Raw genomic sequence first — 18,999 nt, 5'->3', positions numbered from 1 at the left:
TTAGAGTTACCGTTTGATCCAGAAATCCTATTCCTAGGTATATATCAAAGGAAAACAGATCATTTTTCAAAAGAGATAAATGCACTGGTATGTTCCTCACCTTGCTAGTCACAATAACAAAGACATAGAATCAACCTAGGTGCCCATCAACAGTGGATTGGATTAAGACAATGTGGTATTATACATATACAACATGGAATATTATGCAGCCTTAAAAAAGGACAAAATTATGTCCTTTGCAGCAATGTGGATGGAGCTGGCAGTCATAATCCTAAGTGTATAACACAGGAACAGAAAGCCAAATACTGCATGTTCTCACTTATAAGTGGGAGCTAAACATTGAGCGTCCACAGACATAAACATGGGAATAACAGATACTGCAGACTACTAGAGCAGGGATGGAGGGAGGCATGGGTTGAAAAACTACCTACTGGGTATAATGCTTATTACCTGAGTACAATACACCCATGTAACAAACCTGCACATGTACCTCCTGTATCTAAAATAAAAGTTGGAGGAAAAAAATCCCAGAATGTTAACAGAACTAAAATTCCCCCAAATCTAATGTCTAATATCTCAGATGAAAGCTTGGCAACTCAACTGGAAGACAGCAACCCACAGGGAGACAGAAAGTCAGTGTTAACATCTGAGACAGCACAGCCATACTGACTGAGAAGCTCTGCGGAAAAGCACTTCCCAAAGGCTATGAGGAATAATGGGAGGAATTTCATAGGGGGTCATGGGAGAGACTCTACTCTCCGTGTCATTGACTCCCAATAACCAGGAAGGCAACAGGAGAGAAGACAACATCCTGAAGGTGGCTGCATAGGGTAGGGATTGAGATGATGGGTGCTAGAGTCCAATCATCTGGGATCAAATCCTGCCTTTGCCACCCAGCATTGCAGCACAGGCAAGATTCTTACTTGATTCTTCTAAGCTTCAATTTTACATCAATTAATGAAGATACTATAGTTGATGGGAGAGTTATGAACTGAATCTGCAGCCAGTGAGCTTTCTGTATGCTGGCTGGTGTTGTTACCAGCTCTACATCACAGCTGTACATTCTGCCTTAAAGGGAATTCCTGGAGCCCGTATAGATCTGAAGGAGTCCATTTCAATGGGGGGATTTCTTTTTAAAAATTTTTTATTTCTGGCTGGGCACGTTGGCTCATGCCCATAATCCCAGCACTTTGGGAGGCCAAGGTAGGTGGATCACCTGAGGTCGGGAGCTCGAGACCAGCCTGGCCAACATGGAGAAATCCCATCTCTACTAAAAATATAAAATTAGCCGGGTGTGGTAGCACATGCCTGTAATCCCAGCTACTTGGGAGGCTGAGGCAGGAGAATCGCTTGAACCTGGGAGGCAGAGGTTGCAGTGAGCCAAGTTCGCGCCATTGCACTCCAACCTGGGCAACGAGAGCAAAACTCCGTTTAAAAAAAAAAGAAAATATTTCCATAGGTTTTCGGGGGAACAGGTGGTATTTGGTTACATGAGGAAGTTCTTTAGCGGTGACTTGTGAGGTTTTTTTTTTTTTTTTTTTTTTGGAGACGGAGTCTCACTCTGTTGCCCAGGCTGGAGTGCAGTGGTACGATCTTAGCTCATTGCAACCTCCACCTCCTGGGTTCAAGCAGTTCTCCTGCCTCAGCCTCCCGAGTAGCTGGGATTACAGGAGCACGCCACCACACCTAGCTAATTTTTTTGTATTTTAGTAGAGATGGGGTTTCACCATGTTGCGCAGGGTGGTTTCAAACTCCTGAGCTCAGGCAATCCATCTGCCTGGGCCTACCAAAGTGCTGGGATTATACCACCACACCCGGCCAACTGGTGAGATTTTGGTGCACCCATCACCAGAGCAGCATACCCTGAACCCAATTTGTAGTCTTGTATCCCTCTCCTGCGTTGCACCCCATGGGAGAATTTCTGAATGTGATGCCCCTGCCCCCTCGTCTAAGTATTGGTTTTGCCATACGAGGACAACACTCTGGTCCGGGACAAGATATGAGTGGAGACGTGCTGGGACTTCAGATCAAGATTTCAGAGAAATCAAATCTCCTGCCCATTTGGTGCCAGAAGCGATTTCAGAGAGAGACTGAACAACAAGGGCAACAGTGAGTATTTTGTGCTCACTGTGAAGCAGACATGGTTCCAAACACCCTGCCTACGTCACCTGGTCTACTCCTCAGAACAACTCTGAGGTGTGATTATTATCAGCCCATGTTACAGACTGAGAAACTGAACAGGGGATTGAAGTACCTCGAATGACATAATTCCATCATATACTGCAACCTCCTTAGTTGCAAAGCACGTGGAAGCATCTGCTTGACTCAAATATCTCGTGCTGGCCAGGCACGGTGGCTCACACCTGTAACTCCAGCACTTTGGGAGGCTGAGGTGGGAGGATTGCTTGAGCCCTAGAGTTCAAGACCAGCCTGGGCAACATAGTGAAACTCTGTCTCTACAAATAAATAAAACAATTGGCCAGGCATGGTGGGCACACACCTGTGGTCCCAGCTGCTGGAGAGGCTGAGGTGGGAGGATCACCTGAGCCCAAGAGTTGGAGGCTGCAGTAAGATGTGATCATACCGCTGCACTCCAGCCTGCGCGACAAAGCAAGGCCCCGTCCCAAGAAAAACCAACCAACCTAGTGCTGAGATGCAAATGCAATTTTAAAAGTTGCAGGTCTTCAGACTATTTTTCGAAGTCATTCCTCTGTTTCACATGGACAAATCAAAGTTATAAAAATAGCCACTACTAATCTGATGAAATTACTGCTTTCCTTTGTTCAATCCACTGCTTCACACTTTGCGGCCTCCCTAACATCCTTGGGACTGATTAGGCCTTCCTCTTCTATTAGGTAGGCAATGTTCTCTCCAGCAAACAGAAGTAGGCCTTATATCCCCGAGGTCACCAGTACCAGCCAAAAAGTAGCTTGTTGAACGTAATTTCATGCAGAATCAGCTTCCAGTTTAGATGTCATTAGGGCCAGCATTGCTGAGGTTTGAGACTTGGCCAGTGATAAATAGGTCACCAAAATGCAGCCACGGCACCTATTATAGAGTTTCTTGGGTGGAAACATGGACTCACGTGTTTACATCAAGGTTCTTAAATGAAGATATTTTTAGTTTCATTGAGTTATTTTTTACTCTGGCCAAACCCTAATTATCCAAGTGTAGATTATCTATGCTATTAACTCCAAAGTGGGATCGACTCCAAAAAACTTTATTCTGGCCCCTCGGTACTTCCTAACACAGAACATACAAATTAATTTAATATTGGCTTGCGATGGGAAGGGCAGGAGCAAGCTGAGCCTTAGGTAATGTGCAAACAGAACAGCAGCTTCAGAAGAGTCCAGAGCTGCGTGGTTAGTTGGGTTCTTAGTCTCCATCAGGGAAGGAGATGTGAGTTTTGTGTGTATGTCAAAACCAAATAAGCACAAATTTGGGACAGTCTGCCCTGCTTTTTACCTCCCCTGGAAGAAAAAATTATGTTGGTTTGGTATGAGAAAGGATGTGGCTTTGGGACCCTCCCCCTTGAGCAGAGGTCCCAGATCCTCGTGAAGAATTCTGTAAACACCTCACCCACCTATTGTCTGTCTGTTTATCTGCTGTGTGGTCAGGTTGTCACGGCTGTTGGCTTGCTGCTTCAATTACGCAGGGTTTACTTAGCTGTGCAATTGCAATGACTTCCATCTAGAGTCCTCAACATTTGCCTAAACAATCAGCACTTTTCTCCCTAGTTGTCCAAAATGGGAAACTTGATGCTATATATACAGCCAATTGTTGAGCCAGAAACACCTTTCTAATAACTCACTCTAGGGATAAATCAATCCTCAATCTCCTGGAGCCAAATCCATGAGCATTCTATTTCTCTTGGAATTTTTCATATACTCAACTTGTAGGAAAAAGAGGTCATTAACAAGAAACAAGATGCAGCAGAGTTTATTTGGGACATTGACAAAGCCACCAAGGGGTATCTTGAATAAAGGTGAAGAGTTCCATGTCTGACAGCCTCTACACCGGCCGTTACTCCTAACAATGTCAGAGGCAATGCACAGTCCTGAACATTCCTCACGTGAAAGTTCAACTGCGCTGAGAAACCTCGACTGACTGAGAAAGCAGAGTGGACTAACATATTTAAAAATATCTCTTCTCAACTATGTTACAACCATACACACAGTGTTTGGGAAGAATCGCACAAAAACGTAAGTGGTCACTCTGAATAGGTGATTTTTTTTTTTAATTTTTAAAAATTTTTTTATAGAGACAGAGTCTCACTCTGCCACCCAGGCTGGAGTGCAGGCGCACTCTCGGCTCACTGCAAACTCTGCCTCCTGGGTTCAAGCAATTCTCTGCCTTAGCCTCCCAAGCAGCTGGGAATACAGGCACCTGCCATCACGCCCGGCTAATTTTTGTATTTTTAGTAGAGATGGGGTTTCACCATCTTGGCCAGGCTGGTCTTGAACTCCTGATCTCATGATCCACCTGCCTCGGCCCCCCCAAAGTGCCGGGATTACAGGCGTGAGCCACCGCGCCTGGCCTTGTTCCTTAATTTCAACGGTAAATATAAAATTATTTTCTAAAGATTCGCAGTAGAATCCTAGTACTCCTTGGTAATGAGAGAGAAATCAATTAAGGGGGACAATTCCATCCCCAGTGCAATGTGTTTTCTTTTTTTTTTTTTGGAGACCGAGTCTCACTCTGTCGCCCAGGATGGAGTGCAGTGGCATGATCTCGCCTCACTGCAACCTCCACCTCCCGGGTTATAACTCCTGGTCTCAGGACTCCCGGTCTCGAACTGCTGACCTCAGGTGATCCGCCCACCTCGGCCTCCCAAAGTGCTGGGATTACAGGCGTGAGCCACTATGCCCAGCCGTAGATGGGGTTTTCATGGTCTCCAGAAGGACTTTCTGTGATGTGACCACATTGACCTTCAGCCTAGGTGGTCATGTGCTTAATATTGTTATATAAATTATAGCACTTCAAAACTTTAACTTAACTTCACCCTAAGCAATGAGAGCCAAGAAATCAGACTATTTTTGTGTGCCACTTAAATAAACAAAAATGGAAATAAATAATAAATGCCAATGAAATAGTCATTAATAAAATACACTGTCTTCCATGTGTTACTGGAAATGATGTGTGGCCCCCGTGGTACTTGGGAACATCCAGGTTTTCTGAATTCACATTTTAAAGTCTATGAGGAACCCACAGGTGAATGTGTGGCACATGGAGCATATAGACAGACACATGAGGCAGATGCATGAGATGCAGGCCTAGAGATAGACAGAGTCATCCCCGCCCCAGGAGGGAAGTTTCTGCCCTGGAACACTGAGAGAGAGAGAGAGAGACCTGGATCCTTGTGATGAATTCTCCCTGTTTGCTTATGTTAGTTTGAGCAGGTCTGGATTTAAACAGTCCCATTTCCCCTTCCTCTGCCCCTCATTATATACTCATTACTAATGGCTAATAACTGGATGAGAGATACATGGGGGTTCCTATACCCTATTTCTTTTTCTAAAGAGGAATGGTTCATTGCCATTGTCTTGTTTTTCTTCCAGTATTGTATACTGGGCGTGTTGTGCATGGTTTAATCTGATTGCTTAGTCCACAAATGGCAGCTGGTGAGCATTCATATCTGGGGAGCGTGAGCCTCTGCGTGCTGCAGCTCAACAGGACTTTGAATATTCTCCCATCAGGGATGGGGAATACAGTTTGTGGCAGTCAATGAGATGGCTGGTGCTATTGTTTGGCTATGGTTTGAATATGTCCCCACCAAAATTCATGCTGAAATTTGATCCCCAATGTGGTGGTGGTGGAAGGTGGGGCCTAGAGGGAAGTGTTTGGGTCACAGGGGGCAGATCCCTCATGAATGGCTTGATGTCATTCTTGTGGCATTGAGTGAGTTCTCGCTTTGGTGAGACTGGATTAGTTTCCATGGGAATGGATCAGTTCCCTTGACAGTGGGTTGTTATAAAGCCAGAATACCCCTGGGGTTCATGCCTGTCTGCTTCCCCTTTGACCTTCACCATGTTAAGATGCACCACAGAAGCCCTTGCCAGAAGCCAGGGTCATGCCCTTGAACTTCCAGCCTCCAAAACTATAAACTAAAGAAACCTCTTTTCTTTATAAATTACCCAGTCTCAGTTCTGTTATAGCAACACAGGATGAACTAAGATAGCTGGTTCTATTGGGCAGAGGCATTTCTGGGTGTATAGGAAGGAGGGTTTACGGTAAGAGGTAGAACAAAATATAGAAAACAAGGTTTGAGTTTCATCTCCCACTCCCCTTCCCTGAGTACTTCGTGTGGCAGCCATGTTTGTGCTGCTGGATCCAAGCCCCCAAGATGCACCTCAGTGGACAAGGGATAAACACCTGACCCCCATATTTGGCCAATCAGATTCTCTCAGGAATGTAACTTGGGATTAAGAAACAGTAGGCAGTCATCGTTAGTTGTTTCAACTGAGGGGACAAAAACTCAGGGCTGAGGGGTGGTGATCAGCAGCCAAGAATGAGAAGAAGCAGAAAGCAGAAGTCAAAAGCAAAAGAAAGAGAGAAGCAAAGGCAAGAGCCCAAGAAAATGGCTGCCAATTCTTGCTGATTCTCCACTTTCTGGCCTAGCACTGTTGTGAGTCTCAAATTTGCTTCCTGCTCTGCAGTTCCATGAACTACCCCTGTATGTATCCTTACAATACAATCAACAATTTGTCTTGAGCTGATTCAGGTGAGTTCCTAATATTTGCAAGCAAAAGGGCCTTGACTAAGATCATACAGAAAACACGGTCATATATACTGCTAATAAAATTGTTCCTAGTTTTTACAAGAGAATAATTTATTATGTTTTATTGTATTTTGCAAAGAGGACTAAGAATTCAGGCATCTCACCACCTGTGATATTGTAAAATACATATTTGGTCTTTGTCCCTGGTTCCTGATGTATAACTCTTAAAATCTGTAGAATCTCTAATGTGATGTCTTTTTGTATGTTAATGAGTTGACTGTTGACTGGCAGCCCCTAGGTAGTTTCAGAATGGGGCTGGTCACCAGAAAGACCAAGGCATGATTAGAGAGTTGGGACTTAAAGCCCCACACCGCAACCTCCAGGGAGGGGAGAGGAGCTGAAGGCTGAGTTGATCACCAATGGCCAATGGTTTAATCAATCATGTCTATATAATAAAGTCTCTATAAAAACCCCAAAGGACAAGGTTTGGAGAGCTTCCAGATTGCTGAACACATGGATGTTCCTGGAGGGTGGTTCACCCTGGAGAGGGTCTGGAAGCTCCACACCTCTTCCTATAGGTGTTATCCTATGCATCTCTTCATCTGTATCCTTTGTAATATCCTTTATAGTAAACCAGTAAACCTAAGTGTTTCCCTGAGTTCTGTGAGCCACTCTAGCAAAGTAAGCAAACCCAAGGAGGGAGCTGTGGGACCCGATTTATTGCCAGTCAGTCAGAAGCACAGATCAAACACGGAGCCTGCAGTTGACACCTGAAGGTGGGGGGCAGGTTAGGGACTGAGCCCTCGACCTGTGAGATCTGACTCGATCTCCAGATAGATAGTGTCAGAATTGAACTGAATTAGAAGACATCCAGCTGGTGTTTGCTGCAGAGGATGCTGGCTTGCTTGATATATAGGATAATACCCTCACACTTCTGGTCACAGAAGCCTTCTGTGTTGATCGTTGTTGACTGAGAGAATAGAAAAAAAAACAGCTTAAGTTTTTCCACTCTTAGACCATCTGAACAAGTTTGAGAATAACTGCTCTAACTTAGTAGGGAAAAAGAAAAAAGAGGCCCTTCTGGGGTCTTCACCCAAACACATCTGAAAAAAAAATAAGATAGCTGATTAGAAGCAGCAGAAGATATGTTGACTATAACACTGACTCTCAAGGAAGAGCAAAAATCAGAATCGCTTTAGGAAGTTTTGGTGTTTGTTTCAAATGGTGCTACCAAGGCTCTGTCTCAGAGCTACTGAATCAAAAGCCCAGTCAAGTCTTCACGGCAGTTATACATTTTTTTTAGTTTCCTAGGAGATTGTACCATGCACCCCTGTTAGAAAGAGCCACTTGATCTCAGCACAAAAGGACATCTGAGAAAAGAAAGGACTCTAGATATCACAGATTAATGTAGGGACAAATAAAGCTAGCCGCAGTGGTTCCTTGATGGTGTTGCCTTTTTTGACAGAGACGCTGTGATTCTCTGCCCATAAAGATGAACTTCAAACATCCAAAAGGGCTTAAATTATATTTGGCACACATTTTTTGAAGAGGTGGGATAACACGTAATCCATTTATTTTAAATGCTTTCACCAAAATGGTTAAGATAAAAACAATTTGGGACAAACACACAATTCTAGACAAAACTTTAATTCTTAGAAAAGTCCCTGATAGGCTGGGCATGGTGGCTCACGCCTGTAATCCCAGCATTTTGGGAGGCCGAGCCGGGAGGATCACGAGGTCAGGAGATCGAGACCATCCTGGCTGACACGGTGAAACCCCGTCTCTACTAATAATACAAACAATTAGCCAGGCGTGGTGGTGGGCGCCTGTGGTCCCAGCTACTCGGGAGGCTGAGGAAGGAGAATGGCGTGAACCCGGGAGGCGGAGCTTGCAGTGAGCCGAGATCGCGCCACTGCACTCCAGCCTGGGCGACAGTGAGGCTCCATCTCAAAAAAAAAAAAAAAAAAAAAAGAAAAAAAAGAAAAGTCCCTGATAATGAAGACCATCATCCTCCAGGTGCCAAATAAACCCAGTGGTGCTGTGCTGCCCCTGACATGTGGACTGAGTCTTGTCTCCTTCCAGTTGACTGGAGCTAGGACTTGAGTTGATGTGAGCTAGGACTTGATCTGGTTTAGCCACAGGAAGAGGAAACAAGTTAAGCAAGTACTCCATACTCTGAAGTTAACTCATAGATTACAAGAAATAGAATCTGTTTCATTATGAAAACCAAGCCCTTCGTATTTGCCTCACTGGTGAAAATTCAATTGAGCAAACACTAGACAAGTGTTATGGCTGGCTCATAGTACTTGGGGCTGTCAGAAGAAACAATTACTTTGGGAGGTCATGTGAATACCTGGTTCTCATTCAGTGGAGACAATGCAAGGACATTATAGTCAAAGCAGATGGGATGTAGTTTCCATTGATTCATCTACTCAGGAAATATTTACTGAGGCCTATGGCATGCCAGCCTTGTGCAAGGTGCAGGCACACACAGGGGAATGAGATAGAGACAGACAAGGAGCTCCTGGTTCCATGCAGACAGCACGACCTCAGAGATGTCTGTCTCACCCTTCTCCATGGAGTGAAAGCTCAAGCAGAAGAGATCTGCTGTCATGAGAGAAAGAGGCCAGAGGTGGAAAATGGCACCCCCTGCAAATCCCATTAAAACAAATCCCAATATGGCAAGTCAATTATATAATAAATCAGTATTACCAAATGCTAGGCACTTATTCAGTTACAGAATAAGCACATTCAAGGCAATCCAAATATCAAGACTTCAGACTGTATTCCAGAGTTCCAGGAATGAGGATTTGACATAAATCTCCACCCATGAACAAGGAAACTTTAGAATGCTCTGGGAGGATGGCTGGGAGGGATGCCACCCTATGGAACTGAGACAGCCCATAATGTTCTCTGCAAGTGAATGGGAGACAGAGAATCTCCACAGGAAACCTCAAATAACCCCAACCACCATCTGCTCTCCATGGGGGCCCCTTCAGCCCTTTTGCAACATTTCCACTTCATCTAATTTAGGCTGGGCACGCTGGGGAGGACCAGGGGTGCCTCGGAATACAGCATCAAAAGCATCCATCCTGCTTCCTGACTTGCCCTAGATTTGCTTAAAATGTAGAGGTGGCAAAGAGAAATCAGGGCAATAGTAACAGGCTGTTATTCAGAAAACTATCAAGGAAGAATAAAATCAAGTGGAAATGGGACTGACTCCATCTCCAACTGATATTACTGCGAGTTAATTTTCTTCATCAATGCTGGGAGAACAATAGCAATTCTACACCATGTGTTTGGGGAACGTTCTGCTCAACTAGTTAATTAGTTCACAATACAATCTGAGGCTTTGAGGGTGACACAGACATCTAGAAGAAGCGTGGTCCCTGGAGCCAAGCGGATCTGCCTCTCTTTCTGCTGGCTGTGCAGTGAGGAGCAAATTTCCTGTCTCAGTTTCCTCATCTTGCATGGAGTGTTGTTGTGAGGATCCAATGAGATGATGCACTTACACTAGCACTTAGTGCAGTGCCTGGCTCAACACATTTAATTACTGGAATTGGGGCCCCTATTTGGAGTGTCCACCCCATACCCAGAGGAAGCTTAGCACCCAGCGCAAATTAAGGGTCTAAGAAATGGTGGGTGTTTAGTCTCCCTCGCCTGTTTCTGAGTATCGTGATGCTTTTTTTTTTTTTTTTTTTTTTGGAGACAGGGTCTCACTCTGTCATCCAGGCTAGAGTGCAGTGGCATGGTCATGGCTCACTGCAGCCTCGACCTCCTGGGCTCAAGCAAACCTCCCACTTCAGCCTCCTGAGTAGAGGGATTACAGGCATGCACCATCAGGCCCAGCTAATTTTTTAGTTTTTGCAGAGATGGGATCTTGCTATGTTGCCCAGGCTGGTCTCAAACTCCTCCCTCCTTGGCCTCCCAAAGTGTTGGGATTATAGGCATGAGCCACCAAGCCTGGCCTTGTGATGTTTCTTTAAAGGCAGAGAAATGAAAACACTCAATTCTGAAAAGCTGGTCTTCTGTATCTTTTGATCCCATCCATCCTCTTAATCACTAGAGGGCTTTCCTGCTCCTCCAAAATGCTCCCTTTGACCTCTGTCCTCCATGTTTCCTTATGTCTTGCCTGCAAACCTCAGTGTTGTTCTTTCTTTTTAAGTGTGCCCTTACTGCATCTGTGTTTCATAACCTACATTTTCCCCATGACAAAGCCTCTCCTCTTTTCATGGAATATCAATTATTAGAAAGAAAAACCTGCACAGATGGATGTAGTTTAGCAGTGGGTTTCTCTCTACCTCCCAATCAACATGGAGTTGTTCACAGAGGAGTCACTACAAATGTTTTGCAAGGTAAATGTTTGCAAAAAGTGTCTTTAAGAATGGAGCTCCCGGCTGGGTGCGGTGGCTCACGCCTATAATCCCAGCAATTTGGGAGGCCAAGGCGGGCAGATCACGAGGTCAGGAGATGGAGACCATCCTGGCTAACATGGTGAAACCCCATCTCTACTAAAAAATAAAAAAAATTAGCCAGGTGTGGTGGCGGGCACCTGTAGTCCCAGCTACTCGGGAGGCTGAGGCAGGAGAATGGCGTGAACCTGGGAGGCAGAGCCTGCAGTGAGCTGAGATCGCTGCACTCCAGCCTGGGGGACAGAGTGAGACTCTGTCTCAAAAAAAAAAAAAAAAGGAGTTCTCTTTCCCAAAATGAAATTGATTTTATTCTTAAATAACAGCATTCTTGCCAACGTTTAGGTAAGTACATAATAATGCAATTCTTAACATAGCTACCACTGCTTTTCTGATGGTCTTCTCCTTCTCCCCTGCCAGCACTGGTAACTCCAGGACTCTCTCCATAGACTCTGTTTCAAACCTCACTTCCTAAATCATCTTCAGGAGCACTCTACCCCACCGAGAAGAGGGTATTGGCATGTCTTTTACCCTTCATGCATCACTGTCTGCATGGAACTCATAAATAATGAGGCATTTGGCATGCCCAGTGTTCTGCATTCCAGGTTTAAGAGCAGCCTTTCCCCCAGAAACAGGCTTTTGGGCATTATCCAAAATCAACATGGATGGTATCCAACAAGACCTTAGAGATGCTATTTTTCTTTGACTGTGCTGTGTCAACTGGCTACTGTATAGGACTTGATACATTTTTAATGACTGTACTGAGTTTCCTCTGAACTTGTCACTTTTCACCATTTCCAGTTAGTGGGTCTTAATTTCCCATAGGAAAACCTTTAGCCAGCCATAGAGTTCATTCTTTACCGGTTCGATTCTCATTAATTAAATATCCTAAGTGGAAAAGCTCTTGCGCCTACTGATTGGGACACCCAGAGGGAAATCAACAAGAATGGAATAAAATCTCCATGCACCCCATCAGGAAAACCTTGACTGCTCCATGATCAAACTGGATGCAATTTAAAAAAATAATATCATGTGGGGCCCTCTAACTCTTTCTTGAGATTCTGATTAAAAATCTAGGTGATAAGATCACTTGGTTCACATATCTCAGAGACAAGAGGAACCTCGGCACTTGAGCCAAGGGACAGGAAAGAGGTCAAACATAGAGATGAATGGCAGGTGACACTCAGCCTAGGCAGGTGGGACCAGAAGAAGCACTGAGCTCCCTGTATTATTCTGTTTTCATGCTGCTGATAAAGGTACCCGAGACTGGCAAAAAAGAGGTTTAATGGACTTATAGTTCCACATGGCTGGGAAGGCCTCACAGTCATGGCAGAGGGCAAGGAGGAGCAAGTCATGCCTTACATGGATGGCGGCAGGCAAAGAGAGCTTGTGAAGGGAAACTCCTGTTTTTAAAACCACCAGATCTCATGAGACACATTCACTATCACGAGAATAGCATGGGAAAACCCACCTCCATGATTCAATTACCTCCCACTGGGTTCCTCTCATGACACGTGGGAATTGTGAGAGTTACAATTCGAGATGAGATTTGGGTGGGGACACAGCCAAACCATATCATTCTGCCCTGGCCCCTCTCAAATATCATGTCCTCACATTTCAAAACCAATCATGCCTTGCCAACAGTCCCCCAGAATCTTAACTCATTTCAGCATTAACTCAAAAGTCTACAGTCCAACATCTCATTGGAGACAAGGCAAGGCCCTTCTGCCTATAAGCCTGTAAAATCAAAAGCAAGTTAGTTACTTCCTAAATACAATGGGGGTTCAGGCATTGGGTATACCCACTCCAAATGGGAGAAACTGGCCAAAATAAAGGGGTTACAGGCCCCATGCAAGTCTGAAATCCAGCAGGGCAGTCCAATCTTAGAGCTCCAAAATTATCTCCTTTGACTCCATGTCTCACATCCAGGTCATGCTGATGCAAGAGGTGGGTTCCCATGGTCTTGGGCAGCTCTGCCCCTGTGGCTTTGCAGGACACAGCCTCCCTCCCGGCTGCTTTCATGGCTGGTATTGTCTGGCTTTTCCAGGCACATGGTGCAAGCGGTCGGTGGATTGACCATTCTGGGGTCTGGAGGATAGTGGCTTTCTTCTTACAGCTCTGCTATGTGGTGCCCCAGTAGGGGCCCCCAGTAGGGACTCTTTGTTGGGGCTACAACCCCACACTTCCACACTGCCCTAGCAGAGGTTCTCCATGAGAGCCCCGCCCCTTCAAGCAAACTTCCACCTGGACATCCAGGCATTTCCACCATCCTCGGAAATCTAGGCAGAAGTTCCCAAACCTCAATTCTTGACTTCTGTGCACCTGCAGGCTCAACACCACACGGAAGCTACCAAGGCTTGGGGCTTGCACCCTCTGAAGCCACAGCCTGAGCTGTACCTTGGCCCCTTTTAGTCATGGCTGGATTGTCTGGGACACAGGACACCAAATCCCTAGACTGCACACAGCACGGGGACCCTGGGCCTGGCCCACAAAGCCATTATTTTCCTAGGCCTCCGGGCCTGTGATGGGAGGGGCTACTGTGAAAACCTCTGACATGCCCTGGAGATATTTTCCCCATTGTCTTCGGGATTAACATTTGGCTCCTCGTTACTTATGCAAATTTCTGCAGCCAGCTTGAATTTCTCCTCGGAAGATGGGATTTTCTTTTCTATCATATTGTCAGGCTGCAAATTTTCCAAACTTTATGCTCTATTTCCCTTATAAAACTGAATGCCTTTAACAGCACCTTCAATAGCACCTCTTGAATGCCTTGCTGCTTAGAGATTTCTTTTGCCAAACACCCTACATCATCTCTCTCAAGTTCAAAGTTTCACAAATCTCTAGGGCAGGGGCAAAATGCCTTGAGTCTCTTTGCTGAACATAACCAGAGTCATCTTTGCTCCAGTTCCCAACAAGTTCTTCATCTTTGTCTGAGACCACCTCAGCCTGAACCTTATCGTTCATATCACTATCAGCATTTTTGTCCAAGCTATTCAACAAGTCTCTAGGAAGTTCCAAACTTTCCCACATTTTCCTGTCTTTTTCTGAGCCCTCCAAACTGTTCCAGTCTCTGCCTGTTACCCAGTTCCAAGGTTGTTTCCACATTTTCAAGTATCTTTTCAGCAATGCCCCACTCTACTGGTATCAATTTACTCTATTAGTCTGTTTTCATGCTGCTGATAAAGACATATCCGAGACTGGGAAGAAAAAAAGGTTTAATGGACTTACGTTCCACATGGCTGGGGGGCCTTACAATCATGGCAGAAGACAAGGAGGAGAAGTCAAGTCTTACATGGATGGTGGCAAGCAAAGAGAGCTCATGCAGGGAAACTCCTGTTTCTGAAACCATCAGATCTCATGAGACTCATTCTCTATCATGAGAATAGCACAGGAAAGACTCAACCCCATAATTCAATAACCTCCCATCAGGTTCCTCCCATGACACGTGGGAATTGTGGGAGTTACAATTCAAGATGAGATTTGGGTGGGGTAAGAGCCAAACCATATCACTCCCCAAAGGGATCATCTGTAGCTCATCTTCAGTGAATGGCTGGCACAGAGGAATGTGGGCCTGACATTGCCAGATTTTCCATTTTCCCAAGAGAAATCAGAAATCTATATTTCGACTGGGAAATCTGATGTTAAAAAGTTGACAGTGAATTCAGGTTTTCTCAAGCACTCTGAGGTCCACAGCAGTGAGGTGGAGCTGGCTGGGAAAGGCGCCTGAGAGCTGACTGTGCACATCTCTTCTCTATTCTGCCTTCTGCCTTCGGGAACTTCACTTTTATGGCTTGAAACCAGCCATTGTGGGAATATTTACACCACAGAAATAGGCAAATGCTATGAATCAGAGCTTTCTTTCTTTCTTTCTTTCTTTTTAAGCTTGTTGTTAAACATTTACCAACTCATCAACATCTGTGGACCTAATAAAGCATGTTGCCTTTGGTCCAAGGCCAGTGGCAATTTCTAATTTAAACTTAAGCAAGAAGCCAGCCTGGGCAACATGGTGAAACCCTGTCTCTACTACAAATACAAAAATTAGCCAGGCATGGTGGCACACACCTGTAATCCCAGTTACCCGGGAGGCTGAGGTGTAAGAACCGCTTAAACCCAGGAGGTGGAGGTTGCAGTGAGCTGAGATCACACCACTGCACTCCAGCCTGGGTGATAGAGCGAGACTCTGTCTCAAAAATTAAAAAATAAAAATAAATAAATAAATAAACTTAAGCAAGAAGTAGCATTGAATCACCAAGAAGCAATATTATATATTCCAAAATCAGCATTTACAGCCAAGTATACATGGCATGCTGAAACCACAGGGTAGGTGGTGGGCTAAGCACCAGAAGGACATCATCACTAGCTGAGAAGGCAGAGACAAGGGAGCAGGGCGGGAACTCTGAACAAAGTCCCCTACACTGTACAAAGGGTACTCTATAAATAGGACATTTCCAAATGCTTGCTTCTTCCCCCACTGCTCTAAGGGACTGTGGTAAATTATGCTGCCAATGATGACCCTCAGCACCTGGCAACATCCTGAAATGGCTTCTGAATCATCACAAAGAGCTGAGATTATGCTGCGCAGTGATTGAGCAACGAGAGTGTTGCAAGTCCGTTTTCAAACAACTACAAGTGGATGAATGCTCTATCATGAGAAGCGGGGATGGAGGCAGTGGCAGGTTCCCTTTTTCTCTTCATTCAAAACTAGCCTAACCTTGGTCTGGTTCTCAATTCCTGTTTTCTGCTACCCGGAGCCTTTGGCAGTCTGGGGAAGTGTATTGGTCCCTTCTTAGAATAATTTATTTTTAATGAATGAAATAAAATGTATAAAATTACAAAAGCAGCTGTATTAAAACACAGTTACTAAACAATGAAATAAATGTGCGACACATTAAATGTGCTTTGTTATTAAACCACGAAATAATGGCCTGGGCAAGTGGCTCTTGCCTGTAATCCCAGCACTTTGAAAGGCTGAGGCAGGCAGATTGCTTCAGCCCAGGAGTTTGAGACCAGCCTGGGCAACATAGTGAGGCCCCATCTCAATAAAAAAAAAAAATATATATATATATATATATATATATGTATATATATATGTATATATATATAAAATGAAATAATAAAATTAAGGCTAATAACCACCATGATTTTAAGGTAGTGGTGAGGGTGAAGGATAAGGGATCTGCCCTGACTATCAGGTGGAGGGAATGGATCTGTGATTTCACTGGTGCCAAAGCTACAGGCCCTGCTCATCCTATGTCAGGGTTGTTACCTACATTCATCATTCATCATTGGAAGATATGCTCAAGGTTAGTCCCTCAGGGGTTAGTTGGATGCCAGTAAATATAAAGATGGAATTATTTTACCATCTACATTTATAGATGCTCTGAATTCTATTCATGGGCCCGGCTTAAGAACTCCTGCAGTCAGGTTGGGCCAATAGTAAGAACTCAATAAATTCTGACTGAACCAAACTGAGGTTTACATTTGATATGGGATGAGTGCTGGGTGTGGTTCTAAGGAGATAAGCAGGGAAGAAAGACACCATTCAAACCAAGCATGGGACCCCCAGACGTCTTCCTTAGTATACAACCTGGCAGCCCTGTTTCTTCAAAGCAATAGCCTGCAAAATATATTCATCAGTAACATCAAATAAAACACAAAAACATCCACTGATGACAAAAAGAAATACTGAACCGGGGCCATAGGTTTTATTTCAGTTTTCACTAGAATTTTGACTATCTTGGAGGCTACCCACCACTTCTCCCAGTTTAAATCATGGCTGAACAAAGTTTGAAACAAAGTTTTACCACCTACTAGCTGTGTGGCTTTGGGCAAGCTATGTAACCTCTGTGCTTCAGTTTTCTCACCTATAGAATGGGGGAAAATAATAGTCCTACCCCATAGGATGAAAGTTTATCTATGTAGAGCTCTTTGTATAGTACCACAGGAGAGGAAAAATATAGTATATGTTAGCAGTGAGAATAAGATTATTGCAAATTAGCTGACAATATTTAAATTTAAAAATTCTCCAAAACTTGGCAGTACCTATAAAATATTTAAAATTTAAATACTACAGTGAAAATATGGTGTATAAAGCAGTTGTGCTAGCAAATAATTAGCAATAACCTATGTCTTACAATAGGAAGAATGGTTAAATTAATGAATATCCATATCATAGTTAAGTATCCTGGGCAACCTCACAAAGATACAAGAACTACGAATGAACATGCCCCAACTAATTCTATAGATCTATAGTATTATCCTGATACCAAAACAAGACAAAGGGCATAAGAAAAGGAAAAAGGGCACAAGAAAAGGAAAAAGGTAGATAGATAGATATAAATTTATATATTATATATTTATATAATATCTATATAATATATAATATATAATATATAATATAATATATAATATAAAGTATATAATATATAATATATATAATTTATATAATATATAATATATAATTATATAAGTATATATATATTATATATAAGTATATATAATATATAAATTTATATACATAAATAAAATATATATATATATTTTTTTTTGAGACAGAGTCTCACTCTGTCACCCAGGCTGGAGTGCAATGGCATGGATCTCAGCTCACTGCAACCTCCGCCTCCCGGGTTCAAATGATTCTCCTGCTTCAGACTCCTGAGTAGCTGGGAGTATAGGCATGTGCCACCATGCCCGGCTAATTTTTGTATTTTTAGTAGAGACAGGGTTTCGCCATGTTGGCCAGATTGGCCTCAAACTCCTGACCTCAGGTGATCCACTCGCCTCGGCCTCCCAAAGTGCTAGTATTACAGGAATAAGCCACTATGCCCGGCCTATTTCTTTTGAATACTGATGCAAAAATCCTAAACAAAATACTAGCAAACCAAATGCAGCAACATATTAAAAAAATTATACACCATAATCAAGTAGGACTTATCTCAAGATTGATTTAATATCCGAAAATTAGGCTGGGCACAGTGGCTCACACCTGTAATCCTAGCACTTTGGGGAGGCCAAAGTGGGTGGATTGCTTGAGGTCAGGAGTTCAAGACCAGCCTGGCCAACATGGTGAAACCCCATCTCTACTAAAAATACAAAAAATTAGCTGGGCGTCGTGGCACACGCCTGTAATCTCAGCTACTCCAGAAGCTGAGGCACAAGAATCGCTTGAACCTGGGAGGCAGAGGTTGCAGTGAGCCAAGATCACGCCACTGCACTTCAGCCTGGGGGACAGAGTGAAACTCCATCTCAAAATAAATAAATAAATGAATAATAATAAAAAACAAAAATCAATGCAAAACATTATATAAATAGCATAAAAAATAAAACCACATGATCATCTCAATAGATGTGGAAAAAGAATTTGGCAAAAATCTAACAGCTCTTTGTGATAAAAACATTCAACACACTAGAAATAGAAGGGATCTTTCTCAACCTGGTAAAGGCCATCTACAAAACCAATTTCATACTCAATAGTGAAAGACTGAAACTTTCCTTCAAGATCAGGAATAAGATAAAGAGGCCCACTCTTATCATCTCTATTCGACATTGCAGTGGGAGTTCTAGTCAAGCATGAAATAAAGGAAATAAAAGAAATCCAGATGGGAAAGAAAGAACTAAAACTATCTGGACACACAGGTGACATATTCATGTATATAGAAAATCCTAAGGAACTGACTGAAAATTTTTAGAGTTAATACATTAGCGTAGCAAGGCCACAGGATACAAGACCAACATGCAAAAACTAATTCCATTTCTACACACTTGCAATAAACAATTCAAAATAAAATCAAGAAAACCATTTCATTTGCAATAGGATTAAAATAATGAATGACTTAAGAAATTTTTTTAAAGTCCAAAACTTATGCTCCAAAA

At 43.5% G+C, this 18,999-nt stretch overlaps 1 protein-coding gene across 1 annotated transcript in view, besides 1 other annotated feature; it reads right to left on the bottom strand.

Moving 5' to 3' along the window:
- Positions 1-18,999, bottom strand: part of KCNK13 (potassium two pore domain channel subfamily K member 13) — a 123,860-nt gene that overhangs the window by 82,519 nt on the left and 22,342 nt on the right. The gene's annotated exons all lie outside the window — the stretch shown is intronic.
- Positions 13,413-13,913: an enhancer, noted in NCBI's record as "H3K4me1 hESC enhancer chr14:90555766-90556266 (GRCh37/hg19 assembly coordinates)". NCBI's record gives its function as "activates a minimal SCP1, AML or CMV promoter by ChIP-STARR-seq in primed H9 embryonic stem cells {active_cell/tissue: H9 hESC(primed)}" and the evidence as "EXISTENCE:reporter gene assay evidence [ECO:0000049][PMID:30033119]".

This window comes from Homo sapiens, chromosome 14 (genome assembly GCF_000001405.40).
Source record: "Homo sapiens chromosome 14, GRCh38.p14 Primary Assembly".
Classification (NCBI taxonomy): domain Eukaryota; kingdom Metazoa; phylum Chordata; class Mammalia; order Primates; family Hominidae; genus Homo; species Homo sapiens.
The sequence above is the reverse complement of the archived record's forward strand: the minus strand, read 5'-3'. Positions and strand labels throughout refer to the sequence as shown.